The sequence below is a fragment of the Homo sapiens genome, chromosome 2 (assembly GCF_000001405.40).
Source record: "Homo sapiens chromosome 2, GRCh38.p14 Primary Assembly".
Lineage (NCBI taxonomy): Eukaryota > Metazoa > Chordata > Mammalia > Primates > Hominidae > Homo > Homo sapiens.
The window spans coordinates 216,452,856-216,480,842 of NC_000002.12; the positions used below are offsets into that span (position 1 = coordinate 216,452,856).

At 42.1% G+C, this 27,987-nt stretch overlaps 1 protein-coding gene across 2 annotated transcripts in view, besides 3 other annotated features; it reads left to right on the forward strand.

Annotated features, from left to right (window-relative positions):
• Positions 1–27,987, forward strand: part of SMARCAL1 (SNF2 related chromatin remodeling annealing helicase 1) — a 70,570-nt gene that overhangs the window by 40,372 nt on the left and 2,211 nt on the right. For both annotated transcript variants that reach the window (NM_014140.4, NM_001127207.2), the window contains exons 13-17: positions 11,742–11,812; positions 15,089–15,191; positions 22,414–22,596; positions 24,254–24,354; positions 25,348–25,444. In NM_014140.4, coding sequence (NP_054859.2) covers positions 11,742–11,812; positions 15,089–15,191; positions 22,414–22,596; positions 24,254–24,354; positions 25,348–25,444 — 555 coding nt within the window. The remainder of the gene's footprint in view (positions 1–11,741; positions 11,813–15,088; positions 15,192–22,413; positions 22,597–24,253; positions 24,355–25,347; positions 25,445–27,987) is intronic.
• Positions 21,978–22,478: an enhancer, noted in NCBI's record as "H3K4me1 hESC enhancer chr2:217339556-217340056 (GRCh37/hg19 assembly coordinates)". NCBI's record gives its function as "activates a minimal SCP1, AML or CMV promoter by ChIP-STARR-seq in primed H9 embryonic stem cells {active_cell/tissue: H9 hESC(primed)}" and the evidence as "EXISTENCE:reporter gene assay evidence [ECO:0000049][PMID:30033119]".
• Positions 21,978–22,565: a biological region, named in NCBI's record as "H3K4me1 hESC enhancer GRCh37_chr2:217339556-217340056".
• Positions 22,396–22,565: an enhancer, noted in NCBI's record as "active region_17097". NCBI's record gives its function as "activates an Ori minimal core promoter by ATAC-STARR-seq in GM12878 lymphoblastoid cells {active_cell/tissue: GM12878}" and the evidence as "EXISTENCE:reporter gene assay evidence [ECO:0000049][PMID:35858748]".

Here is a 27,987-nt window from a genome sequence, read left to right on the forward strand (position 1 = left end):
CTGAGAGTTTGATTTCTGAGCTTGTTGGTGATGCTATGAAATTAACTAGGAGGTACTATGGAATTTAGGAATGTTGGGTGTTTTATAACTTTAGGTAGCTATACAAATCCAGTATTTTTGAGGATATTTTTATATTTTCTTGCTTAGAAACGGAGCCACAACTCCCTTTTGGTTGTGGAAAAGTACATAAGGATAGTGCCAGTTGCCCAGAATCCTGCCTACTGGGTGATTATCCTCTTTGCTTTGTAAACACCACAGTGTTAACTCCATTTTGCAGATGATGAAAATGAAGCCTAAATTGCAGTGTCATTCTTCAAGAATCCAGCTGAGAAAGAGCCCGGAGCTCTTCTCAGTCCAGCACCTGAGAGTTGCTGTCTGCTTCCTTGGAGTCTTAGGAAAGTTAAACGTTTATCCCTGAAAGATAGAGATTGAGTTGGTACAGATTACCATCAGTGTGATGGCTGAAGCCAGACACTAAATTCTTTCAGATAATAATTCCTTAAGAACTTGATGCCTTTTTGTGTCTTAATAGAAATCAATTTTTATAATGGAAAATCCAAGTAGAAAACAGATTTGTGTGTTTGTGCTTTGGGCCATCAGAACCTTTGGATTTCTAAAGCCATTGATTTAGTGCATTTCTAAACCATGGATCTGATCAGGATCATTGCTCTAACTTAATTCAGGAAGGGAGCCAGCATCAGCTGGAGGCTGGACTAGATGACCATAGGCATGTCTTCCAGACCCTGGCCAGCTATGAAATCCTGAGTTGGAAGGGTTAAAATGGGGACTTATTTTTTTTATGGTTTTAGTTGAATAAGGAGGCCCTGTGGATCTATAGAAAGTCCCCTCTCTCCACTGCCACCAGTTTTTTAAGTTACTTTTTAGTCCCAAGTTTCCTTGCAATTTTGCAAATCATGGTGACTCCAGCCAAGCACTGCTGACCTGCCTGTCAAGAATTGATTCTTTGTTCCTTCACACCTTTCCATCTGGAAGAATACATTTCTTAAAAAGCTTTATATCACAGGAGCCAAGGTGAAGGAGCCAATTTATAGAATGTAATGTATAATCAAAGACTTTTCTCATTTTTTCAGCTGAAATAATGGATATCGCTTCACAGGCAAAGGAAAGCTGACTGTAATCATCTTTTGTCTAAAGCCATTTTTTCATCCTCAAGACCAGTAACAGAGAAATGGAACAAGTCCATACAGATTTCCTGGTAACAATATCAGTTCACCCTTGCCATTTGACAATCCACTCAAATTTCCAATGTAGAAAAATTTAAAAACTCCATTGGATCTAATTTAATTAAGGTCTAGTCAGGAACAAAGAATGCAGGTTATTTAAAATTTCCTGGCCAGTAGCTGGCAAAAGAAGTAAGATCATTAATAGAGAGTATTAGGTCTGCACAGTTTGGGGGAGTTTTTTTAAAGCTGAAACTATTGATTTCTCCCACATTAAAATAGATATCTATTGTATAAAATCTGAAAAATAAAGAAAAATACTTACAATCAGTAACATTTATTGAATACTTGCTCTGTGCTGGGCATGGTGCTTTACGTGTATTGCGTCATTAAATTCTCACCATCAGCCCAGATATTTGAGCCTCAGAGCCTGCACTTTTAAGTGCTACAAATTCTGGTTCTACCGTTTAGTAGCAGTGTGACAAGTATACTCATTTGACTTTTTTTGCCTCAGTTTCCTAATCTGCACAGTGGTAAAGTAGTGCCTCCCTCATAGCAATGCTGATTATTAAATGAGTTAATGCATATTTAGTTCTTAGAACACTGCTTGGCCCGTAATAAGTGGTATATGAGAGTTAGTTGTTATTTTTATTACTATACTATAAAAAAGAATCATCTTGGGGCGGTTCCAAGATGGCCGAATAGGAACAGCTCCAGTCTACAGCTCCCAGCGTGAGCGACACAGAAGATGGGTGATTTCTGCACTTCCAACTGAGGTACTGGGTTCATCTCACTGGGGCTTGTTGGACAGTGTTTGCAGGACAGTGGGTGCAGCACACCGAGCGTGAGCGGAAGCAGGGCGAGGCATCGCCTCACCCAGGAAGCGCAAGGGGTCAGGGAATTCCTTTTGCTAGCCAAGCAAAGCTGTGACAGATGGCACCTGGAAAATCGGGTCACTCCCACCCTAATACTGCGCTTTTCCAATGGTCTTAGCAAACTGCACACCAGGAGATTGTATCCCGTGCCTGGCTCGCATGGTCCCACGCCCACGGAGGCTCGCTCATTGCTAGCACAGCAGTCTGAGATCGAACTGCAAGGCAGCAGCGAGGCTGGGGGAGGGGTGCCCGCCATTGCTGAGGCTTGAGTAGGTAAACAAAGCAGCTGGGAAGCTCGAACTGGGTGGAGCCCACCGCAGCTCAAGGAGGCCTGCCTGCCTCTGTAGACTCCACCTCTGGAGGCAGGGCATAGCCAAACAAAAGGCAGCAGAAACCTCTGCAGACTTAAATGTCCCTGTCTGACAGCTTTGAAGAGAGTAGTGGTTCTTCCAGCATGGAGTTTGAGATCTGAGAACGGATAGACTGCCTCCTCAAGTGGGTCCCTGACCCCTGAGTTGCCTAACTGGGACACACCCCTGAGTAGGGGCAGACTGACACCTCACACGGCCAGGTACCCCTCTGAAATGAAACTTCCAGAAGAACGATCAGGCAGCAACATCTGCTCTTCAGCAATATTCGTTGTTCTGCAGCCTCCGCTGCTGATACCGAGCCAAACAGGGTCTGGAGTGGTCCTCCAGCAAACTCCAACAGACCTGCAGCTGAGAGTCCTGACTGTTAGAAGGAAAACTAACAAACAGAAAGGACGTGCACACCAAAACCCCATCTGTACGTCACCATCATCAAAGAGCAAAGGTAGATAAAACCACAAAGATGGGGAAAAAACAGAGCAGAAAAACTGAAAATTCTAAAAATCAGAGTGCCTCTCCTCCTCCAAAGGAATGCAGCTCCTCACCAGCAATGGAACAAAGCTGGACGGAGAATGACTTTGACGAGTTGAGAGAAGAAGGCTTCAGATGATCAGATTTCTCTGAGCTAAAGGAGGAAGTTTGAACCCATCGCAAAGAAGTTAAAAACCTTGAAAAAAGATTAGACGAATGGCTAACTAGAATAACCAATGCAGAGAAGTCCTTAAAGGACCTGATGGAGCTTAAAACCATGGCACGAGAACTACGTGACGAATGCATAAGCTTCAGTAGCCGATTTGATCAACTGGAAGAAAGGGTATCAGTGATTGAAGATCAAATGAATGAAATGAAGCAAGAAGAGAAGTTTAGAGAAAAAAGAATAAAAAGAACAAAGCCTCCAAGAAATATGGGACTATGTGAAAAGACCAAATCTACATCTGATTGGTGTACCTGAAAGTGACGGGGAGAATGGAACCAAGTTGGAAAACACTCTGCAGGATATTATCCAGGAGAACTTCCCCAACCTAGCAAGGCAGGCCAACATTCAAATTCAGTAAATACAGAGAACGCCACAAAGATACTCCTTGAGAAGAGCAACTCCAAGACACATAATTGTCAGATTCACCAAAGTTGAAATGAAGGAAAAAATGTTAAAGGCAGCCAGAGAGAAAGGTTGGGTTACCCACAAAGGGAAGCCCATCAGACTAACAGTTGATCTCTCGGCAGAAACTCTACAAGCCAGAAGAGAGTGGGGGCCAATATTCAACATTCTTAAGAAAAGAATTTTCAACCCAGAATTTCATATCCAGCCAAACTAAGCTTCATAAGTGAAGGAGAAATAAAATCCTTTACAGACAAGCAAATGCTGAGAGATTTTGTCACCACCAGGCCTGCCCTACAAGGGCTCCTGAAGGAAGCACTAAACATGGAAAGGAACAACCAGTATCAGCCACTGCAAAAACATGCCAAATTGTAAAGACCATCAATGCTAGGAAGAAACTGCATCAACTAACGAGCAAAATAACCAGCTAACATCATAATGACAGGATCAAATTCACACATAACAATATTAACCTTAAATGTAGATGGGCTAAATGCTCCAATTGAAAGACACAGACTGGCAAATTGGATAGAGAGTCAAGACCCATCAGTGTGCTATATTCAGGAAACCCATCTCATGTGCAGAGACACATAGGCTCAAAATAAAGGGATGGAGGAAGATCTACCAAGCAAATAGAAAACAAAAAAAGGCAGGGGTTGCAATCCTAGTCTCTAATAAAACAGACTTTAAACCAACAAAGATCAAAAGAGACAAGGCCGTTACATAATGGTAAAGGGATCAATTCAACAAGAAGAGCTAACTATCCTAAATATATATGCACCCAATACAGGAGCACCCAGAGTCATAAAGCAAGTCCTTAGAGACCTACAAAGAGACTTAGACTCCCACACAATAATAATGGGAGACTTTAACACCCCACTGTCAACATTAGACAGATCAACGAGACAGAAAGTTAACAAGGATATCCTGGAATTGAGCTCAGCTCTGCACCAAGCGGACCTAATAGACATCTACAGAACTCTCCACCCCAAATCAACAGAATATACATTCTTCTCAGCACCACACCGTACTTATTCCAAAATTGACCACATAGTTGGAAGTAAAGCACTCCTCAGCAAATGTAGAAGAACAAATTATAACAAACTGTCTCTCAGACCACAGTGCAATCAAACTAGAACTCAGGATTAAGAAACTCACTCAAAACTGCTCAACTACATGGAAACTGAACAACCTGCTCCTGAATGACTACTGGGTACATAACGAAATGAAGGCAGAAATAAAGGTGTTCCTTGAAACCAATGAGAACAAAGACAGAACATACCAGAATCTCTGGGACACATTTAAAGCAGTGTGTAGAGGGAAATTTATAGCACTAAATGCCCACAAGAGAAAGCAGGAAAGATCTAAAATTGACACCCTAACATCACAATTAAAAGAACTAGAGAAGCAAGAGCAAACATTCAAAAGACAGCAGAAGGCAAGAAATAACTAAGATCAAAGAAGAACTGAAGGAGATAGAGACACAAAAAACCCTTCAAAAAATCAATGAATCCAGGAGCTGGTTTTTTGAAAAGATCAACAAAATTGATAGACCACTAGCAAGATTAATAAAGGAGAAAAGAGAGAAGAATCAAATAGATGCAACAAAAAATGATAAAGGGGTATCACCACTGATCCCACAGAAATACAAACTACCATCAGAGATATTATAAACACCTCTACGCAAGTAAACTAGAAAATCTAGAAGAAATGGATAAATTCCTTGACACATACACTCTCCCAAGACTAAACCAGGAAGAAGTTGAATCTCTGAATAGACCAATAACAGGCTCTGAAATTGAGGCAATAATTAATAGCTTACCAACCAAAAAAAATCCAGGACCAGACGGATTCACAGCCTAATTCTACCAGAGGTACAAGGAGGAACTGGTACCATTCCTTCTGAAACTATTCCAATCAATAGAAAAAGAGGGAATCCTCCCTAACTCATTTTGTGAGGCCAGCATCATACTGATACCAAAGCCTGGCAGAGACACAACAAAAAAAGAATTTTAGACCAATATCCCTGATGAACATCAATGCAAAAATCCTCAATAAAATACTGGCAAACCGAATCCAGCAACACATCAAAAAGCTTATCCACCATAATCAAGTGGGCTTCATCCCTGGGATGCAAGGCTGGTTCAACATACGCAAATCAATAAACATAATCCAGCATATAAACAGAACCAAAGACAAAAACCACATGATTATCTCAATAGATGCAGAAAAGGCCTTTAACAAAATTTAACAGCCCTTCATGCTAAAAACTCTCAATAAATTAGGTATTGATAGGACATATCTCAAAATAATAAGAGCTATTTATGACAAACCCACAGCCAATATCATACTGAATTGGCAAAAACTGGAAGCATTCCCTTTGAAAACTGGCACAAGACAGGGATGCCCTCTCTCACCACTCCTATTCAGCATAGTGTTGGAAGTTCTGGCCAGGGCAATCAGGCAGGAGAAAGAAATAAAGGGTATTCAATTAGGAAAAGAGGAAGTCAAATTGTCCCTGTTTGCAGATGACATGATTGTATATCTAGAAAGCCCCATCGTCTCAGCCCCAAATCTCCTTAAGCTGATAAGCAACTTCAGCAAAGTCTCAGGATACAAAATCAATGTGCAAAAATCACAAGCATTCTTATACACCAATAACAGACAAACAGAGAGCCAAATCTTGAGTGAACTCCCATTCACAATTGCTTCAAAGAGAATAAAATACCTAGGAATCCAACTTACAAGGGATGTGAAGGACCTCTTCAAGGAGAACTAAAAACCACTGGCTCAACGAAATAAAAGAGGATACAGACAAATGGAAGAACATTCCATACTCCTGAATAGGAGGAATCGATATCATGAAAATGGCCATACTGCCCAGGGTAATTTATAGATTCAATGCCGTCCCCATCAAGCTACCAATGACTTTCTTCACAGAATTGGAAAAAATTACTTTAAAGTTCATATGGAACCAAAAAAGAGCCCACATTGCCAAGTCAATCCTAAGCCAAAAGAACAAAGCTGGAGTCATCACACTACCTGACTTCAAACTATACTACAAGGCTACAGTAACCAAAACAGCATGGTACTGGTACCAAAACAGAGATCTAGACCAATGGAACAGAACAGAGCCCTCAGAAACAATACCACACATCTACAACTATCTGATCCTTGACAAACCTGACAAAAACAAGAAATGGGGAAAGGATTCCCTATTTAACAAATGGTGCTGGGAAAACTGGCTAGCCATATGTAGAAAGCTGAAACTGGATCCCTTCCTTACACCTTATACAAAAATTAATTCAAGATGGATTAAAGACTTAAATGTTAGACCTAAAACCATAAAAACCCTAGAAGAAAACCTAGGCAATACCATTCAGGACATAGGCATGGGCAAGGACTTCATGTCTAAAACACCAAAAGCAATGGCAACAAAAGCCAAAATTGACAAATGGGATCTAATTAAACTAAAGAGCTTCTGCACAGCAAAAGAAACTACCATCAGAGTGAACAGGAAACCTACAGAATGGGAGAAAAGTTTTGCAATCTACTCATCTGACAAAGGGCTAATATCCAGAATCTACAAAGAACTCAAACAAATTTGCAAGAAAAAAACGAACAACCCCATCAACAAGCGGGCAAAGGATATGAACAGACACTTCTCAAAAGAAGACATTTATTCAGCCAACAGACACATGAAAAAATGCTCATCATCACTGGCCATCAGAGAAATGCAAATCAAAACCACAATGAGATACCATCTCACACCAGTTAGAATGGCGATCATTAAAAAGTCAGGAAACAACAGGTGCTAGAGAGGATGTGGAGAAATAGGAGCACTTTTACACTGTTGATGGGACTGTAAACTAGTTCAACCACTGTGGAAGTCAGTGTGGCGATTCCTCAGGGATGTAGAACTAGAAATACCATTTGACCCAGCCATCCCATTACTGGGTATATACCCAAAGGATTATAAATCATGCTGCTGTAAAGACACATGCATATGTATGTTTATTGCAGCACTATTCACAATAGCAAACACTTGGAACCAACCCAAATGTCCAACAATGATAGACTGGATTAAGAAAATGTGGCACATATACACCATGGAATACTATGCAGCTATGAGAAATGATGAGTTCATGTCCTTTGTAGGGACATGGATGAAGCTGGAAACCACCATTCTCAGCAAACTATCGCAAGGACAAAAAACCAAACACTGCATGTTCTCACTCATAGGTGGGAATTGAACAATGAGAACACTTGGACACAGGAAGGGGAACATCACACACCAGGGCCTGTTGTGGGGTGGGGGGAGGGGGGAGGGATAGCATTAGGAGATATACCTAATGTAAATGATGAGTTAATGGGTGCAGCACACCAACATGGCACATGTATACATATGTAACAAACCTGCACGTTGTGCACATGTACCCTAGAACTTAAAGTGTAATAAAAAAATATATTTAAAAAAAGAATCATCCTTACATTTGATATTTGAATGGACAAATGAACTGTATGTAATATTTTTGGGTCAACTGGGGGAATTTTGAACATAGTCTCAGTAGTAGATGAGATAAAATGTACTGAAAGAGAAAGTTACTAAAAAAACAAAACCAGATTAAGGAATGGTATGTACAATAAAATTTTATATTGATGTAAAACTAGAAAGAGGTGTGTGTGTGTGTGTGTGTGTGTGTGTGTGTGTGTATGTGTGTGTGTATGTGTATAAAGACCTGGAAAGGTAAACATTAAGGTAATGAGCATTGGTGGACACTGATGGTAATTAAATTGATTTAATTAAATTCAAAAATTTCCTATAGTGCACATGTGCTGCTTCTGTAACTATACTTTTTAAAAGTACAAACAAGATAATAAAAAGTTAACCAATTTAAAAAAAAAGAATCATCTTTTATACAACCATAATTTTGGCATATATAATTTGAGTATTTTTCTATAATTATGTGTGTATATGTTGCTTTAAGATATATTTTTATGTATCTGCATATAAATATATATAAAATATTATATATGCAATAAGCAATATGTGTATTTTAAAAGCAGAACTGGGATCATACAAACACGTCAAGTGGGAAGGAAAACAGGTTACTGTCTTATGAAGACTTTTCCATGTTGTTAAATATTCTCTTAAAACATAATATTTAGCCAGGTGTGCTGGCTCACTCCTGTAATCCCAACATTTTGGGAGGCCAAGGCAGGAGGATCACTTGAGCCCAGGAGATTGATACCAGCCTGGACAACATGGCAAAACCCTGTCTCTACAAAAAATCCAAAAAAATTAGCTGGGCGTGGTAGTGTGTACCTGTAGTCCCAGCTACTTGGGTAGGAGGCTGAGGTGGGAAGATCACCTGAGTCTGGGAGTTTGGGGCTGAGGTGAGCTGTGATTGTGCCACTGCATTCCAGTGTGACAGACAGAGACCTTGTCTCAAAAAAAAAAAAAACAAACCATAATATTTAAAGACTGCATAGTGTTTTCTCACACGGCTATAATTTTGCTAATCGTTTTGTTGGGCCTTTAAGTTACTTTCAATTGCTCACTATTCTGAGTAATACTGTACTGAAAAAGTAGCTTACATAGAAATTTGTGCACATGCAATTTTATAATGAGAATTAGTTTTAAGGAGTAAGTTGCTGGATGGTAGGGTTTTGGCATATTTAAAGGGGGTTGGTACGTTTTGCTGCATCATCCCCAAAAGGGCTAGCCCAGTGTACCATCCCACCAGTCAAGTATAATAAAAGTGTTTGTTTCTTCATACTCTCATCAACTCTAGGTGCTAAATGTTAGAGCAAGATTCCTGAAAGTGCTTCTCAGCAGTTTTCCATCTGTTTGTTTTGCCCTCTTTCTTTCTTATTAGGGAGTATGGCATGAGTGAGTGTAGGTGGGAGGGGTAGGCTCTCTCTGAAGGACACGAGTAAAACTGAAGATGGGGGCCAACTGGGGTGCAGTCTGATGGAGGCACACATGCTGCGAGTGAGGTCATCACATGTAAGCCTGCCCTGCCCCTTTGGCTACTAGAAACTGCATTGGGTTGGAGGGCCTAGCCTGCTCCTGGGGACCGTTAGACGTCCATGAATGGATTTCATGAAGTCTGAGCTCACTAGCCACAGGTGAAAAGTTGTGTATGTTTCCAGAGCGTGATACAAAATAGGAGGGTAGGTGGCTGCCACTGCCAAGACACATGTAGGATATGAAAGGGATTTACAGTCTAATCAGTGACCCCACAGCTTCCTGGGTTCCTCAGCATCTTTCTTTTTTCCCGTAAAGTCCTGGAGGAAAGATACCATTCAAAGCTAAGAAGCTGGCCAGATGCAGTGGCTCATGCCTGTAATCCCAGCACTGTAGGAGGCCAAGATGGGAGGATTACTTGAGCCTAAGAGTTTGAGACGGACCTGGACAACATAGTGAGATCCTGTCTCTACAAAAAATAAAAAAAAAAAAAAAGCTGGTGTGGTGGTGCATACCTTTAGTCCCAGTTACTTGGGAGGCTGAGGTGGGAGGATTGCTTGAGCCCAAGACGCTGAGGCTGCAGTGAGCCATGATCGAGTCCAGCCTGGGTGACAGAGCATGACCCTGTCTCAAAAACAAAAACAACCCCAAAGCCAAGAAGCTGTTTTAACCAGACAGCTTTTTCCTCCATCCATGGTTATTAGTTTTAGGTACAGTCTGGCTGTGGTTGCTTTCCTGAGTTATCAAGATCTCAAGAATGACAGGTTCAAGGCTATAGATGTTATTGCTGTTGAATCACGTCTTTGTTCCCTGGGGAAGCTGTCCTGTCAGTCACAGATCTTACAGAGGCCAGGCACAAGAAGGGGGGTGCACCTGTACTATGCTTGCTGGTGAAAGGAGATGGCCACCTGTCTTGGTCCTTTTGTGCTGTAACAAAATACTTTAGACTGAGCCATCTATAAACAGAAATGTATTGCTCATGGTTTTAGGGGCTGGGAAGTTCAAGATCAAGTGGCCAGCAGATTCAGTGTCTAGTGAGGGCCCAGTTTCTGTTTCAAAGAGGGCGGAAGGAACAAAGAGGCTCTCTGTCCTTATGATCTAAGCATCTCCCAGATGCCCCACTTCCCACCACCACTGCACTGGAAATTAAGTTTCAGATTATGAATTTTGGGGGGACACTCTTACCAATGATGGTAAGAGTATGATCTCTGGGAGGCCAGAGCGATAGTAAATGTTATCTCACATTATTATGAAATGATTTGAGCATCTCCTGTGTTAGCATTCTTTATTAGGAGTCACTTAAATGTAAACCATAAAGAAAACACCGTTTCTTCTTCTGGGAAGTTAATTACCTTATGTGGGAGGTATACCAAGAACACCTGAATAATGGTTTTAAAATGATACTAAAATGGGCCAGGTGCGGTGACTCATGCCTGTAATCCCAGCACTTTGGGAGGCTGAGGTGGGTGGAACACCGGAGGTCAGAAGTTCGAGACCAGCCTGGCCAACATGGTGAAACCCTGTCTCTACTAAAAATACAAAATTAGCTGGACGTGGTGGCACATGCCTGTAAGTCCCAGCTACTCGGAGGCTGAGACGGGAGAATCGCTTGAACCTGGGAGGCAGAGGCTGCAGTGAGCCGAGATCGCGCCACTGCACTCCAGCCTGGGCGAGACAGAGCGAGACTTTGTCTCAAAAAAATAAAAAATAAGATAAAATAAAATGATAGTAAAATAGACTAGTCAGGGTCCATTGGAATTGATTCAGTAAATCTTGGACAGAGGTAAGCTCTGTAAGTCAGGTATAGTCACAGCTTGGCAGAAGAAAAGAGGGAAGCAAAAAGCAAGTTGGGGAAATGTCACATGTAAGTTGTCACCAGGCTGTAGTAAATAGGTATGCTTAGCCAAGGCCACATTTCAGTGGTTCACATGGGTCTGGTGTGTATGGTGAAGCCCTACCTGAAATGCGTCTCCAAAGAGCTTTTGTGTTCCTTGCCTCTTGGATTCTTGCAATGGTTCTTGGACAATGGCAGAGTAGCTCTAATGCCGTCTCTGAGGACAAAACCCGACCCAGGCAGTTCTTCTGACTTGGCCAAAGTGAAAGGGGAATCATTGTCAGCACCAGGGTCTCCTGACTCTGGTGACGGGTGGTTGAGATTTGTAAAGCGCATAGGAGCAATAATTAGATCCACTCATCCCAGAGTTCTCAGACTGGGGCACTTAACATTCTTAACTTATCTTTCAACAGAAACAGCAGCAGAAAGATGCCCTCATTCTCTTCTTCAACAGAACAGCTGAAGCTAAAATCCCATCTGTCATGTAAGTGGTCACTAAGTGTCGACCTCTCTCTCTCTCATCTTCAAAAAAAAAAAAAACAACTTATTACTTTATTCTGCCTGAATGATTTTACTGCGTCTAAGAAATGACCAGAGATTATTAAATGTGCCTTTTGTTGAGGAAGGAAAAAATAAAACAGATGATCAGAGAGTAGAATTATAGCTGCCTTGAAAATAAAGTTTAGGGGCCAGGCTCAATGCCTGTAATCCCAGCACTTTGGGAGGCCAAGGTGGGAGGATTGCTTGAGTCCAGGAGTTTGAGACCAGCCTGGACAACATAGTGAGACCCCATTTATACAAAAAATGAACAGAATTAGCTGGGCATGGTGGCATGCACCTGTGGTCCCAACTACTCAGGAGGCTGAGGAGGGAGGATTGCTTGGGAGGGAGGACGGTCGAGGCTGCAGTGAGCTAAGGTGGTGCCACTGCACTCCAGCCTAAGCAAGAGACTAAAACCCTGTCTCAAGGGAAAAATGAAAAAAGTAAAAGTTTAGGGCACCCTGCTGTTAATTACACACAAGGCATAAGTTGGCCGGTAACTGGAGCGACTACTAGGATGTACCTGGGTCTCTAAGAGATCCTGTCTTGAGCCAAGTAGGCTGGAGCTGCTGCTCGTTAAAAGGAGGGTGGGGTTGTCCCCAGCACCAAAGGGGAGAGTTTTTCTAGGAGGACTGTGATCATTTGCCTTTAGGGAAAAAAAAATTAGAAGGAAAAGCTGCCTTATGGGGATACTTGGGTCTTCCCCAAGGTCAGGAATTGTCATCCATTACTTACCTAAATAAAAAGACAAATGTCAAAGTTTGTTCAAAAGATATGGGCATATGGCCGTTGTCACGCCTAGTTCTATTTCCACCTTATAAATTAAAGCTAAAGTAATAATTTCTATTCTTACAATTATTCATGACAAAATCTCAATTGTATGCCTTTCTTAAAGAAAAACCCACTCCTATTTAAATATCACTGGGGTAGAAACCTGGCAATTCTAATGATGTGCAGTTTGCCTGATTTTTTTTTTTGTTTAACATTCATGTGATGCTCTGGCAGGATAATGGTCCAACTGATGAAATTACAATGAGAATGGATTCCGTAGGGCTGAGTGGTGCCAGACTGGCTGTGGGGACTGAGATCTGGGGATAAATTAAGAAATATATCTGCCCCATCCTCGTACTTGGCCCACCTACCTCTCCACACCCTCCACTGTGGCAAGAGAGCTCCCCACACCACTCGATCTGCAATGCCCCCTGGAAAGACTGCCCAGTGCTGGCCTCCTCCCCTTCACCTCCTGGGCACTGCCCTTTTCATTTATGACCCTGCTAATGAACTCCAGATGTGGTTTTTATGGCCTGGAAACTTTTCTCCCAGAAACACATCTGAGTTGCCCCCGCTGACCCATTTCTCATGTGCTGTGGAATAACAGATGGCAAGGGTGTGCGTTTCTCCCTTGCTCCCTCAGCTCAGGACCTGCAAAATTCAGAGTCCACCAGGTGCCTCTCTCTTCAGATACTGTGCCCAGAGCCACCCATTTCCCTTAGAAATTTTAAGTCTTTCTACCACCTCATAAATAAACTTTGGTCATACCTTATACATACTTTCTCAAATTTCTATTATACAATAAATTGTATAGTGCTTTGTAGTTTCCAAACATTTTTTACACCTGTGAACTCATTTCACATTTACAGCATCTTTGTGAGATCATGTAAGTCACACTGGCTCCATTTTTAAAAATGCAAACACTGAGTAAATCTATGACTCTCTGGACCTCAGAGTCACACAGCTAGTAAGTGGAAATTAGATTGTATGTCTTCAAAACCCCAATTTCCTCAGCTAGTTGTTTTTCTTTTCTTTTTTTGCTGTTGTTTGTTTTTTCATTTTAATGGGCATCTTTTAATATAAAAGCCAAGGTTATTGTGGTAGGCAGATATTTCCAGCCTAGGAACTTGTAGAAGGTTATAGAACAACAAAGCTGTGTATGAGATATAGAGGGGAAAGACGCATTAGGAAAATTGGGGCCTGTGGTTTTTATGAGCTCACCAAGTGGATTTTGTGGCCTTGTGACTTTTTGATGCTGTAGCCGTAAACTTTTTTGCTTATATCATGGCAAATTTTATGTCTCTCAAAATAATTAAAGTAAATTCTATTAGTATCAACAATTCACAAATTGAACTCAAATCTGGTGCCCTGGTCAGTCATAGTGTTGTTTGAAATGACTCTTGGATGTTTACAGGGCAGTCCACGTACCTTTCCCTCACCTGAGACATATCCTTCTTTAAGGAAGGCAGAGTCTGTTCCCTGTCCAGACGCACCCATGGCTGGCAATGGCCTCAGCAAAGGAGCTCACTTGCCTGTACTGGGCTTACCTCTTCTTTGGGATTGTGATCCCTCTTCAGGGAGCTACCAGGGGAGGGGGCACCTAGCCAGGGTCTGTTAACCTGGTGACTTCCCACCCCACTGCTCCCTGAGGGTAGCCACCTTAAGGCCAAGCGAAAGATAAGAGGTGGGAAGCTTGCCGGGTGCGGTGGCTCACGCCTGTAATCTCAGCACTTTGGGAGGCCAAGGTGGGCAAATCACTTGAGGTCAGGAGTTTGAGACCAGCCTGGCCAACATGGTGAAACCCCATCCCTACTAAAAATACAAAAATTAGCTGGGCGTTGTGGTACACACCTGTAATCCCAGCTACTCAGGAGGCTGAGGCAAGAGAATTGCTTGAACCCAGGAGGTGGAGGTTGCAGTGAGCTGAGATTTCAGCACTGCACTCCAGCCTGGGCGACAGAGCGAAACTCAGTCTCAAAAAAAAAAAAAAAAAAAAAAGGGTGGGAAGCTAAGAAAAAACACAGTGGCTGGAAGAGAGATGTAAATTAAGGGAGGCCAAACAAATGAGAACCTTCTCTCCATAGTCCTCTGCCTTGGAAGAGAATTAACTGACTTAACTACTGGCCCTGTCATTTGAGGTCTAAAGTGGGAGGAGCTGGAGATCCTTCTTGGAATGTCTCTTTAGTATTATGTATGTCTCAATATTTAGCTTCTAGAAATTTGTGTACTGTCATTAATTCCTTAGTCCCCTCCCTAAATGCTTTCAGATCTACAGAGGACACTCTAATTTGTATTTAAAACACATTATAATGATAGTCGGAGGTAAAGTGAAAACTGTTGATCATCTTCTATGATCCCAGATAATAAGAATGTTTCAGTAACATACCAGAGACACATAAAACATAAGGAGTATATGTTTAATCTGTTTTGTTGTCATTGTCAAATGCAGTGAATATATCTTGGACCTACTGGAAAGTGGAAGAGAGAAGTTTTTAGTATTTGCACACCATAAGGTGGTCCTGGACGCAATTACGCAAGAGCTTGAGAGAAAGGTGAGCTCCCTTTGAAATTCACCATGGGCTACTTTTGCCATGTCCCAAGTTGTTCTAAGCAGGCTTAGGTCAGATCCAAGCAAAGTGAGACCGATGGCTTCCGGAAGCATTGCTGAAGACTTTCTGAAGAAGAGTTCTTGCTTGTAGAACCACAGTGGGGTCAAAATGTTTCCCCAGCCATGTCATTTTAACTTCCTCCATGCTCCAAATAGATATCCCAGGAGTCTTGCTTTAGGAACATCTCCCAGGGGCTGTTCCATTATTCTGCATAAATAATTACAAAGTTGGCAAGAGAGGAGATAGCAAAATTGTCCTTTTGTATGGAGACAAGTATTTATGTGAATGTTTTCCTCTTTTCCTTCCTTTCATTCCTCCTCAGCACTGTCAAAGCACTTTTATTAATTCCACATGGCAGTGTGCAGACATTAGTAGAGAGTTTTATGGCTCTCCTGAAATTGAACGAAAGGGATCTAGAAGGATTTCCAAGGATGTTTATGAAAACTGAACACATTTCATCCCCTTTTCATTTTTGGTTAAATTTAAGGCTGTAAATTGCTCTTTGTCTTCCCTCATCGTTTATATTTATATAACATTTGAATGTACTTTAAGAGTACAGAGAAATATACAGCAAATACCCATGTATCTCCCACCCAGATTTAATAAATGAATTTATTTCAAGGTTTTTTTATTTTGAGGCAGAGTCTTGCTGTGTTGCCCATGCTGGAGTGCAGTGGCAGGATCTCAGCTCACTGTAGCCTCCGCTTCTCAGGTTCAAGTGATTCTCGTGCCTCAGCCTTCCAAGTAGCTGGGACTACACCACCTCACCTGGCTAATTTTTGTATTTTTAGTAGAGACGGGGTTTCACCATGTTGCCCAGGCTGGTCTTGAACTCCTGGCCTCAAGTGATCCACCTACCTCGGCCTCCCAGAGTGCTTGGATTACAGGCATGAGCCACCACACCCAGCCTGAAGGTTTATTTTTTTAATAATAAAATACTTAGGTCCCCTCAGTATTCTAACTTTATTCCCCTTCCATCTCTCCAGCAATAACATCACTATTACGAAGGCAATGGGTATCCTTGCCCTCCATGTTGTCATACTATATTCTAGGAGTACGTATCCATAAGCAATTTATCGTCTCCTTTTTGCTTATTTTTAAAAATTTAAAATAAATGACAGCACGGTGTAATTATCCTGCAACTTACTTTTTTCTCAGCATTGTTTTAGAGATTTCTTTTTTTTTTTTTTTTTTTTTTGAAACAGTCTTGCTCTGTCCCCCAGGCTGGAGTGCAGTAGCACGACCTTGGCTCACTGCAAGCTCCACCTCCCGGGTTCAAGCTATTCTCCTGTCTCAGCCTCCCGAGAAGCTGGGACTACAGGTGCCCGCCACCATGCCTGGCTAATTTTTTTGTATTTTTAGTAGAGACAGGGTTTCACCGTGTGTTAGCCAGGATGGTCTCGATCTCCTGACCTCATGATCCGCCCGCCTCGGCCTCCCAATGGAGATTTCTTTATACTGCATTACACGTATAGTTCATTCACTGTAACTGTGGAATTGTATCTCATTGGATAGCTATACTGCAGTTTATCCATTCTCCTGCTGATGGTTGCTATCGTGTGAATATTATAGTAGGTGTATGTTTGTATCTATGCATTTCTTTATGGCTTGTGTATGTGCTTTGTGTAGGGGAGGCATATTCAGGCATGCTCTTGCATGGTTATTAAATAGGTTCATCTTCATACTAAATGTTGTCAAATTGCTCTCCAAGGTGGTCATTCACATTTATAATCTCACTAACAACATATAAGGGTTCCTGCTGTTCTGTGTGCCCATTAACACTGGTATTATCCAACTTTTTAATTTTACCAATCCAGAGAAATGAAATATCATCTCATTCTTGCTCTAATTTGCATTTCCCTGACTACCAGTAAAATGTGTATCATTTTATTTATTTATTTATTTATGGCCATTTTAGCTGTCTCCTGTGAATATTCTGTTTGTATCCTTTGCCTGTTTTTCTGTTGGATTGTTTTTTTCTTACTGATTTAGGAAAATTCTTTATAAATTCTGGATATTAATGTTTTATCAGTTATCTTTTTATCTTTTAAATTTATTTTGTTGGGGAGGGGGGTCTCGCTCCGTTGCCCGGGCTGGAGTGCAGTGGCTTCATCTTAGCTCACTATAGCCTCCGCCTCCTGGGTTCAAGAGATTCTCATGCCTCAGCCTCCTGAATAGCTGGGATTACTGGTGCACACCACCACGCCCAGCTAATTTTTTTGCATTTTTTTAGTAGAGACGGGGTTCCACCATGTTGGCCAGGTTAGTCTCAAACTCTAGGCCTCAAGTGATCCACCTGCTTCAGCCTCTCAAAATGCTGGGATTACAGATGTGAGCCACCAGGCCCAGCTGGTTTAATTGAATTCTAATAAAAACTCCAACTAGATCTTTTTTTTTTTTTTGAAGCAGAGTCTCACTGTATCTCCCACACTGGAGTTCAGTGGCACGAATGCTGCTCACTGAAGCCTAAACCTCCTAGGCTCAAGTGATCCTCCTGCCTGAGCCTTCCCAGTAGCTGGGACCTCAGGAATGTACCACCACGCCTTGCAAATTTTTAAATTTTTCTGTAGAGACAGGGTCTTGCCATGTTGCCCAGGCTTGTCTAGAACTGGGCTCAAGCAATTCTTTTGCCTCAGCCTACCAAAGTGCTGGGATTACAGGCATTAGCCACCGCACCCAGCCTCCAGTTGGATTTTTTAAAGGGAACTTTATACTGTTACTCCCAAGAACATCTCAAAAAAAAAAAAAAAAAAAAAAAAAAAAGCAGGAGCGATATCTAAACAACTATGAAAAAGAAGAGCAATGTTGGAAGACTTGTCCCTTCAGACATTAAATATTAAAATCTGTTATAAAATACCAATAATTAAAATTCAGCCATGCTGGCCCCAGAGAGATGGCCAGATGGTGGAATAGAATACATGGCCCTTTACCATAAATGGAAAGCAAATACATGATCAAGGAATTGTCACAAATCCGTTTTCAATTTCTTCAACAAAGTTTGGGTAATTGCCTAAATAATTGGGGGGTGGGAGGGTAGATGAAACTTTAACTCACTGTTTACTATATTAAATTGCAGGTGAATCAAAGATCCTTGAAACCATAAAGTATTAGAAGAAAATACCAATGAACAATAGCTGATCACTGGGTGGAGAATGACTTTCTAAGCATAAAAACCAAGAAATTACAAAGGAAAAATTGATTTGAATTACCTAAACACATGTATTTTTTCTGTGACACATACACAGTGATTAAATTTTTTTTTTTTTTTTTGAGGTGGAGTTTTTGCTCTGTCGCTCAGGCTGGAGTGCAATGGTGCAATCTCAGCTGACTGCAACCTTCGCCTCCTGGCTTCAAGCATTTCTGCCTCAGCCTCCCAAGTAGCTGGGAATACAGGTGCCTGCTACCATGCCCAGCTAATGTTTGTATTTTTATTAGAGACAAGCTTTCACTGTGTTGGCCAGGCTGGTCTCAAACTCTTGGCCTCTGGTGATCCACCCACCTTGGCCTCCCAAAGTGCTAAGATTACAGGCGTGAGCCACCATGCCCAGCCCACAGTGGCTATGATTCTCTTGTACATTTGTACATTTTTGGAGGGCAGTTTGACAGTAAATTAAGGCGTGCACTCAATTTTTCAAATTTTACTTCTAGGAATTTATCCTAAGGAAATCATCAGACTAGTCAGATTTATAAATGAGAATATTAGTCATGCTGTTTATAATATTCAATAATTAAAAATCTAAGTTTTTATCAACAGATATACTATTAAATAAATTATAGTCCATTCAGCCATAAAATATAATGTTGATCAGTGGTTCCTAACTTTGGAGATCATTGAACCCTATAAGAACCTGAAGAAACTCCAAAATTGAAGGTCTTGGTATCTGGTTAGTATATATTGCTATCGGAAGATGTCCATACTATGGACAAAAAGCTGTTGTATGTATAATAATTTTTAAAAATTGTCATGTTGTCCAGGCGCAGTGGCTCACGCCTGTAATCCCAGCACTTTGGGAGACTGAGGCAGGCAGATCACCCGAGGTTAGGAATTCTAGATCAGCCTGGACAACATGGCGGAACCCCATCTCTACTAAGAATACAAAAATTAGCTGGGCATAGTGGTGCATGCCTGTAATCCCAGCTAGTCAGGAGGCTGAGACACGAGAATTGCTTGAACCTGGGAAGCAGCGGCTGCAGTGAGCCGAGATCCTGCCACTGTACTGCAGCCTGGGTGAGAGACAAGACTCTATCTCAAAAATAAGATAAATAAAATAAAATAAATAAAATAGTCATCCATAGAAAAAAGCCTGATTAATATATACCAGTACATTAATGATGATTATCTCTAAGTAGTCATCATTATCTTTTTAGTTTTTCTGTATTTTTGCAATGAGTGTGTATTATTTTTATAATAAGAAAAATTACATTTTTAAAAATAAAGGAGAATTTAGAAAACAACAGAAAAGTAATAGAAGGAAATAAGCTAGGGAAACTATTAGCCACCTCTGTGACATACAAATAATGGTTTTTACATGTAAAGGTATTTCCTAACTCCCAGTAGGAAAAAAAAAAAGGGGGCAACCTGTATAAATAGATAGTTCATCAAAGAAATGACACCAGTAGCCAATTAAAAGATAACGAAAACACCCAATTTCACTAGTAATCAAGTTAGTGAAAAATAAAATTTTTTTTTTTACCCCATCAAGTCAGTAGAGGTTTTAAAAATGTGCGGTGCTCACTGTTGATGAAAGTGTACGAAGATGGACATGCTAATACATTAGTTATTGGAAAGCAATTTGGCAATAATATCAGGAGCCTTAAATTAAGTTTTTTCTTTTTGCTATCGTACTTTGGTTTGTAGTCCAATCTAAGAAAATCACCAAAAATTGGCATCCTCTTAAAAACTTTCCATTTTAATAGCATTCTTGAGGTATAATTGACATGCAGTAAACTGCACATAATGTGTACAATTAATGAGAATCAAGATAGGAAACATATCTGCCACCCGCTGCCCCCACCCCCAGAGTTTTCCTTTGTAATCACGCCCTCCTGCCCCTTCCCTCACCCTCCCATCCTCAAGCAACCTCTGGTCTACGGTCTGTCACTAAGGATTAGTTTGCGGATTTTTAGAATTTTATATAAATATGGAATATAATGGAATATAAATGTGGAGAAAAGGACATTCAGGATGTACTTTTTTTTTTTGAGATTTATCCATGTTGTTGTGTGTCTCGTTCCTTTTTAGTGTTCACTCCTTGGTTTTCCTTTTTTTTTTTTTTCTTTTTTGGTTATCTAGACCTGCAGATGTTCACTCCCTTTTAGTGCTAAATAACATCCCATTGTACATCATCTGTTCACTTGTTGATGGACATTTACCAACATATCCTTTTAGGAAAAATTTGAGACCCCTAAATCTGCAGAAATAGAAGGGTTAAATTATGCTGTTGCTGCATAATGACAAAGGGCCATTAAAAATGATATTTTAGAACACTTAACAATACAGTTTTACTTATAATGTGTTTTATTGGGGGAAAACAGGATATAAAACTTTTTATTTAAAAGATATATATACCATACACATCAAAAAAAGAGACAGGAAAAAGTAGATTGGTTAGATTACTAAATGTTTTTATTTTCCTTATCATGTTTATCACTAGCAAGAATAAATAAATGCCATTTAAAAGAAAATAACTAAACTAAACATGCAGTTACCATACAACACAACAATTGACTTTTGAGCATTTTTCTTTGGGAAATGAAAACTTAGGTTAACAGAAAAACTTGTACACACATGTTCATAGCAGCTTTATTTGTAGTAGCCCCAAACTGGAATCAACTCAGATGTCCTTCAACAGATGGATGGTGAAACTATGGTATATCCATACTGTGGGCTATTTCTCAACAATAAAAAGAAGAAAATTATTGATACAGGTAACAACTTGGATGAATCTCCAGAGAGTGCTGAATGCAAAGGCCCATTCCAAAAGGTTATATGCTGTGCAATTTATATAACATTTGTATAGCATTCTTTTTTTTTTTTTTTTTTTTTTTTTTTTTGAGACAGAGTCTCGCTCTGTCACCCAGGCAGGAGTGCAGTGGTGCCATCTTGGCTCACTGCAACCTCTGCCTCCCGGATTCAAGTGATTCTCCTGCCTTGGCCTCCTGAGTAGCTGGGATTACAGGCGCACACCAGCACATCTGGCTAATTTTTGTATTTTTAGTAGAGGCGGGGTTCCGCCATGTTGGCCAGGCTGGTCTCAAACTCCTGACCTCAGGTGATCTACCTGCCTTGGCCTCCCAGAGTGTTGGGATTACAGGCATGAGCCACTGTGCCTGGCCTATAGTGCATTCTTGAAAAAAAAAAAAAAAATTGGCCAGGTGCAGTGGCTCACGCCTGTAATCCCAGCACTTTGGGAGGCCGAGGCAGGCGGATCACCTGAGATCAGGAGTTTGAGACCAGCCTGGCCAACATAGTGGAACCACGCCTCTACTAAAAATACAGAAATTAGCCAGATGTGGTGGTGTGCGCCTGTAATCCCACCTAGTTGGGAGGCTGAGGCAGGAGAATCACTTGAACCCCAGGGGGCGGAGGTTGCCGTGAGCCAAGATCGTGCCACTGCACTCCAGCCTGAGTGACAAGAGTGAAACTTCATCTTAAAAAAGAAAAAGAAAAAAAATGTTTTTAGAAATTCAGGTCAGATTAGTGGCTATCAGGAGCTAAGGACCGTGGAAAGAGGAGGGAGGTAAAAGGATCCTTGCAATGTTGGAGTTGTTGAGTATCTTAACATTGGAGGTGAATATATGAAAACCTACACAGGTGATAAAATTGTGTAGAACACACACATACAGTAAAACAAGAAATCTGAAGATCAGTGGATTGTATAGAAGTCAGCATCCTGGCTGTGGTATTATACTATAGTTTTTATAGAATGTTACCACTGCAGGAAACTGGGCAAAGGCCTAAGAGGGATCTCTATTATTTCTTACAATGGCACCTGAGTATAAGCAGTCATCTCAATACCAATGTCAATTTGAAAAGAAAAGCTCTGAAGGCAGGGGCCTCTGCTGAGCTGGAACCTGGTTCTGTGCTGGAGCTGTGGCTGGGTGTGGTTTGCTGAGAAGCCCCCGGGGCTGTTGCCCACCTTGCTTCTGCCCCTTGTTCCTGCAGCACGTGCAGCACATCCGCATCGATGGCTCCACCTCATCAGCTGAGCGGGAGGACCTGTGCCAGCAGTTCCAACTGTCGGAGAGGCATGCTGTGGCCGTGCTGTCCATCACCGCTGCCAATATGGGCCTCACCTTCTCCTCGGCTGACCTGGTGGTGTTTGCTGAGCTGTTTTGGAACCCAGGGGTAAGAGACGCAGAAGACTCAGATACTCCCCAGGCATGCTCATGGCTGTGGGCAGGAAGCAGTGAGTGTCGGTCGGGGAAAGTGTGGTTTCCCTTTTATCCATTCATTATACTTCCCACAAGTCAGTTTTCACTTCCTTTAAGCACTTCTATGTTGATTGACTAGTCTCTTTTTTTCTTTTTTTGAGACAGAGTCTCTTATCACCCAGGCTGGAGTGCAGTGGCATGATCTTGGCTCACTGCAACCTCCGCCTCCTGGGTTCAAGCGATTCCCCTGCCTCAGCCTCCCGAGTAGCTAGGATTACAGGTGTGAGCCACCACGCCAGGCGATTGGCTGTTTTCTAGATTTTCACAGCAACCTGTAGGATTATCGACTCCATTTTATCAACGGGAAGGTTGAAGTCTTCCAGGGCTAGAAGGAATCTTGACTTCATGTCTCATAGGAGGAAGTTAGGGCACCGAGAGCTCAAGGGGTGAGGCAGGACTGCACTGCCATAACTGAAGAGGGCACTTGGTGGCACCAGGTTGCAGCCCAGGCCTCACGTTCCAGCCTGTGCCCCCTTTAGTAGCCATCATTGTGAGCTGCTTTAACAATGGACCTCACACAGAGTGACAGCAGTGAGGGTTTCCTGGACACCACCACTGGCCTCACCTGACCAACTGAGGACAGAGATAAGACATTTGTTTGAACTCTTAAATTTTTCTGGTAATCTCCAGAAAAGTTATATCCCCTTTAATATTTATATAATATTTAATAATATTGTGGTTTTTATTGGCTACACATAAGAGACTACATTAATAATGGGTAGACCTTGAGGGTGTAGCCATTTTATACAAGAAATAATGCTCATGATGTTAGGTGGTTTTTTTTTTCTTTTGCTTTTTTGAGACAGGGTCTTGCTCTGTCACCCAGGCTGGACTGCAGGGACTTACTGGCTCACTGCAGCCTTGATTTCCCGAGCTCAGGTGATCCTCCCACCTCAGCCTCCTGAGTAGCAGGGGACTACAGGTGCACGCCTCCATGCCTAATTTTTGTATTTTTTGTAGAGATGGGGTTTCACCATGTTGCTCAAGCTGTTCTGGAACTCCTGGGCTCAAGCAATCTGCCTGCCTCAGCCTCCCAAAGTGCTGGGATTACAGGCGTGAGCCACCACATCCAGCCCTTAAGTATTTATTATAAGGCTTACCACTATATTAAACCACCACCCTATGCCCAAATCATGGATAGCCTCTCCCTTGTGTGTGATGTTTTTATTTATTTAGAAGATAACTTTTTATTTCATACAGTGAAGAAATGGAAGTGTGCAGGCCTCCATCACCAGCCCCTCCCCATGCAGCCTGATGGCAGAGCCTGTGCCTCTTCATTTGCAGCACCTAGCTCAGTGCCCAGCACTGAACAGCCACCTGCAGATCTTCTGCTTCAGATTCCAGTTCCCCAGCCAGGGCTGTTTTGGGTTCTCTCTTTTGTTAAAGTGGCAGGTCATTTGTAGGTCTGAGATGGTAAAGTGCAGGTTATTTCTAGGTCTGAGACAGTGAAGTGCTTTGAGGAGGGAGGGTTGTGGTGGGACTGGAAATGGGGTGGAGAGGAACCATACCTGCTATGGTGGATGGAACTGCTTCAGGCCTTTACCTGCCTGTCTCAATTCCTGGACACACAGGTGCTGATCCAGGCTGAGGACCGCGTGCACCGCATTGGACAGACCAGCTCCGTGGGCATTCACTACCTCGTGGCAAAGGGCACAGCTGATGACTACCTTTGGTATGGCTTGGTTGGGTGGCCTGGCAGTTGGAGTCGAGCAAGGGTGGAAACTGATGATATGTTTACTTTGCTCCCAAAGTGCTTCTGCTTTTGCTAAGTAAGGTCTTTAAGGATCTATAGAAAATTGACTAGTGATGCCCTCCTGCTTTCATCATGACCATATTTGGCCTCCCTCACTAGCGTTCACTGGTGGCTTGCAGGGTGCATGCTGAATCTTATAGCAATAAGGGGTTGTGGCTCCTTTTGCTGCTGGTCTGAGGCAGGGAGAAGTGCTGATTATGACAAAATATAGATGGAATTTAGTTTGTAAAACACCCTGTTCCCAGCTGTGAAGGCATTTGTTAGGACAGGGTGACAGTCTTTTACCTTTTATGATGTGCATTTATCTGGTGGGCACATCTTACATTGCTGCTGCTGGACCACAGGGAGAAAGTGGCTTACCCTGGACTGTGTAGTGTACTTCGTTAGCAGAGCTGGAGTAAGATTTTCAACCCTAGGGTTTTCTGTCTGTTACCTAAGTGAAAAATCTCAAAAAGCTTCTTCCCCTTATCTCCCCCTTCCTGATACAAAATTTCTTGATTATCTCATTTGTTTCCACTGCTTGTCTCTGTTTCCAGCCTTATGACTAAGGAGTCTTCCCTTTGCAATGTGTGTGGGTCACTCCTACTTCCCCCTTTTTAGTGGATTTGTTAATTGGGCAGCTCATAATACCACCAGATTCAAAATTGTGTTGAAATGAGGCAGCATTTATTTCCTACACATCTTCCATTAGAAAGAATATTGAACCTGATGATATTCTTAGCCCTAAATTGGAGTTTTTACAAATGAGAGGGGGCAAATTTTTCAAGATGGGTGTTTGCACCTTGAGAGATGCAGAGATGTGAAACCGTAAACAAGCCGTTGTCCCATAAGAACAAGGAGGGTGGCCTCATTTTCATTAGTCTGGTGGTTCTGTGCAGGTTGTATTCACTGCAGCTCATTTCTCCCCAACAGGCCCCTGATTCAAGAGAAGATTAAAGTTCTGGCAGAAGCCGGGCTTTCTGAGACCAATTTTTCAGAAATGACAGAATCCACTGATTACCTCTACAAGGTAATGCCAGCACATGGCTCTTCACCCCTGGAGCAGAGGGAGGCATTAAGCTGTCTGCCAAGTCTTTGGGTCCTGAGTAGGAGGATGTGAATCACTCCTAGGGACCTCCCCCAGCCTAGAGCTGAAAACAATGGCCTGCAGTCATTCTCAGTTGAACCATGCATGCATCGCTTTATGGGGAAATGATGGCATTAGCTCCTACAGCTGCTGACATTCCCGCACAGGCTCTGAATGCTGCCTCTTCCAGCAGGCCATTAGAAACTGACAAAACTCCCCATGGCAAATGTTGAATTGTTTCAAAAAGTACACAGCAACACCACACATAGGGCTGCCACAGGAATGCATCCCCAGCACAGAATGGGGAGTGTTTAAAATAGGGTACTGGCTTCATAGAATATATTTTCCCTTCTGTCATTTTATTTATTCTCAGTGTCTCCCCACTTGATAGAGGGGTAAACTGAGACATGGCAGTATAGTAGGTTTGCACAAAGTCACAGGGCATGTGAAGCCAGCCCAAGGAAGAAGGCTTCCTGACTTGGCCCAGCATTCCTCCTTTGAGCTCAGCCCTTGTTGTAAAGGAGTATAAGAGGCATCCCTCCATGACCAGGCAGGCCTTGTCAAAGGTGCTGAGGGGGAAGGCTGTTGCCTCTGAACAGGACAGCCCTGGGCCCATCATGCCTGCCTGGTTTCAGTGCTGCAGCCCAGTGGCTGCCACAGACTCTTCCTCCCCCATTTCAGTGAAACACAGTGGAGTGAGCAAGAGACCCAGAGCCTTCCAAAAGCTTGTTTTCCTTCCCCAGCTTGGATTGTTGGCCAGAAGGTGAAAACCAGGAGTATGCCCTCCTCGAGCACAGCTCATGGTTGAATTGTTTCTGCCAGGAGAGTTTGAACCAGGTCTGAGCCTCATGCAGAAAGGGGCCTTACGGTAGCTTATCAGGAAAGTGAAGCACCTCCTCCTTCCTGTGAAATCACCATCAGAATATTGAGTTAGGCCACACATGGTGGTGCACACCTGTAGTCCCAGCTACTCCAGAGGAAAAGGTGAGGATCACTTGAGCCTAGGAGGTCAAGGCTGTAGTTAGCCATGATGGTCACTGTACTCTAAACTGGGCAACAGAGCAAGAGCCTGCCTCAAAAAAAAAAAAAGAGAAAGAAAAAAGTTTAAATAAATAAGAAGTTGAGTTAAATCTTATCGTTGACACCAAGACTTAAGACTCTGTGGATCTGCTCATTCACTTACATTTATTTAGCAAATAAATTCTTTCTTTGCAAGGATTTATTTGCTAAATATTGGGATAAATAAGACTCAGATCATATTTTTAAATGCAGACTGCAAATTATCCTTTCAGACATATATAGTTAATAAGCCAATTTTAAAACAACCTTATTTTTAAGCTTTTTAAAGAACTCTCCAGTTCAGCTGAATGGTAAATGGTAACAGAGCCTAGGTTATTACAAGCCTTTTGAAAAGAAATAGTCTGAGCAGGCATAGTGGCTCAAGCCTCTAATCCCACACTGAGGCGGACAGATGACTTGAGCCCAGGAGTTTGAGACCAGCCTGGGCAACATGGTGAAACCCCCATCTCTACAAAAAATACAAAAATTAGCCAGGCATGATGGCACATGCCTGTATTCCCAGCTACTCAGGAGACTGAGGCAGGAGGATTCCCTGAACCTGGGAGGCAGAGGTTGCAGTGGGCCAAGATCACACCACTGCATTTCAGCCTAGGCAACAGAGACAGACCTTGTCTCAAAAAAGAAAAAAAAGAAAGCCTATTTTTAAAGGATTCTCACTTGAACTCATTTATTCCTCCTTGCCTTTCTCTTACTCTAAATTGGTTAAGCATTTCTACCTAAAATATAAGTACAAGGTAATATAAATGAGTTTTATCAATATTTTGATCAATAACTATATCAATTTATTTTTTAATTAAGATGGGGCTGAAAATTTTATCAACTACTAGAAAAAGAAAATGTTGCTTCCAATATAGGAGACAAAAGCAGAAGAGGTTATATCTCACTGAGATAGCCTTCCTTCTGAGAGGGGAAATGAAATATTAATCTGATCTTGGAACTCGCTTCCAATTAATTATGCATGCCCCGAGTCAGCATACAGTGTTGCCATCATCATAATCAAATGCACATTAGCAGCTTTTTCTACTTGGAATAGGCTGCCTTGCAGGGTGGCGTTTCCTTGACATTGCAGTCATTCAGAAAGAGGCTGATGAGGGCATCCTGGAGGAGGACATGTGGGTTATTTGGGGGTCAGCCTTGATGATCTTTCATATCATTTCCCTCTCTGCAAGGCTGGGATCCTGAAAGGCTAGGAGATTTCGGGTGCAGGTTAATTGAATAATCTGGAGTTCTTACATGACAGGCTGTCATGATCAATTTTCAAGGAACTCTACTTCACCAATGTGGAGGGATTTGGTTAAGGAATAGTGAGGAACAGTGGCCAGGTACGTTGAGACCTAATTCTATAAAGGCCTGAAAAGCCAGGGGAGCAACTGTAGACTTGATGAGGTAGGGACAGCGGAGCCCAA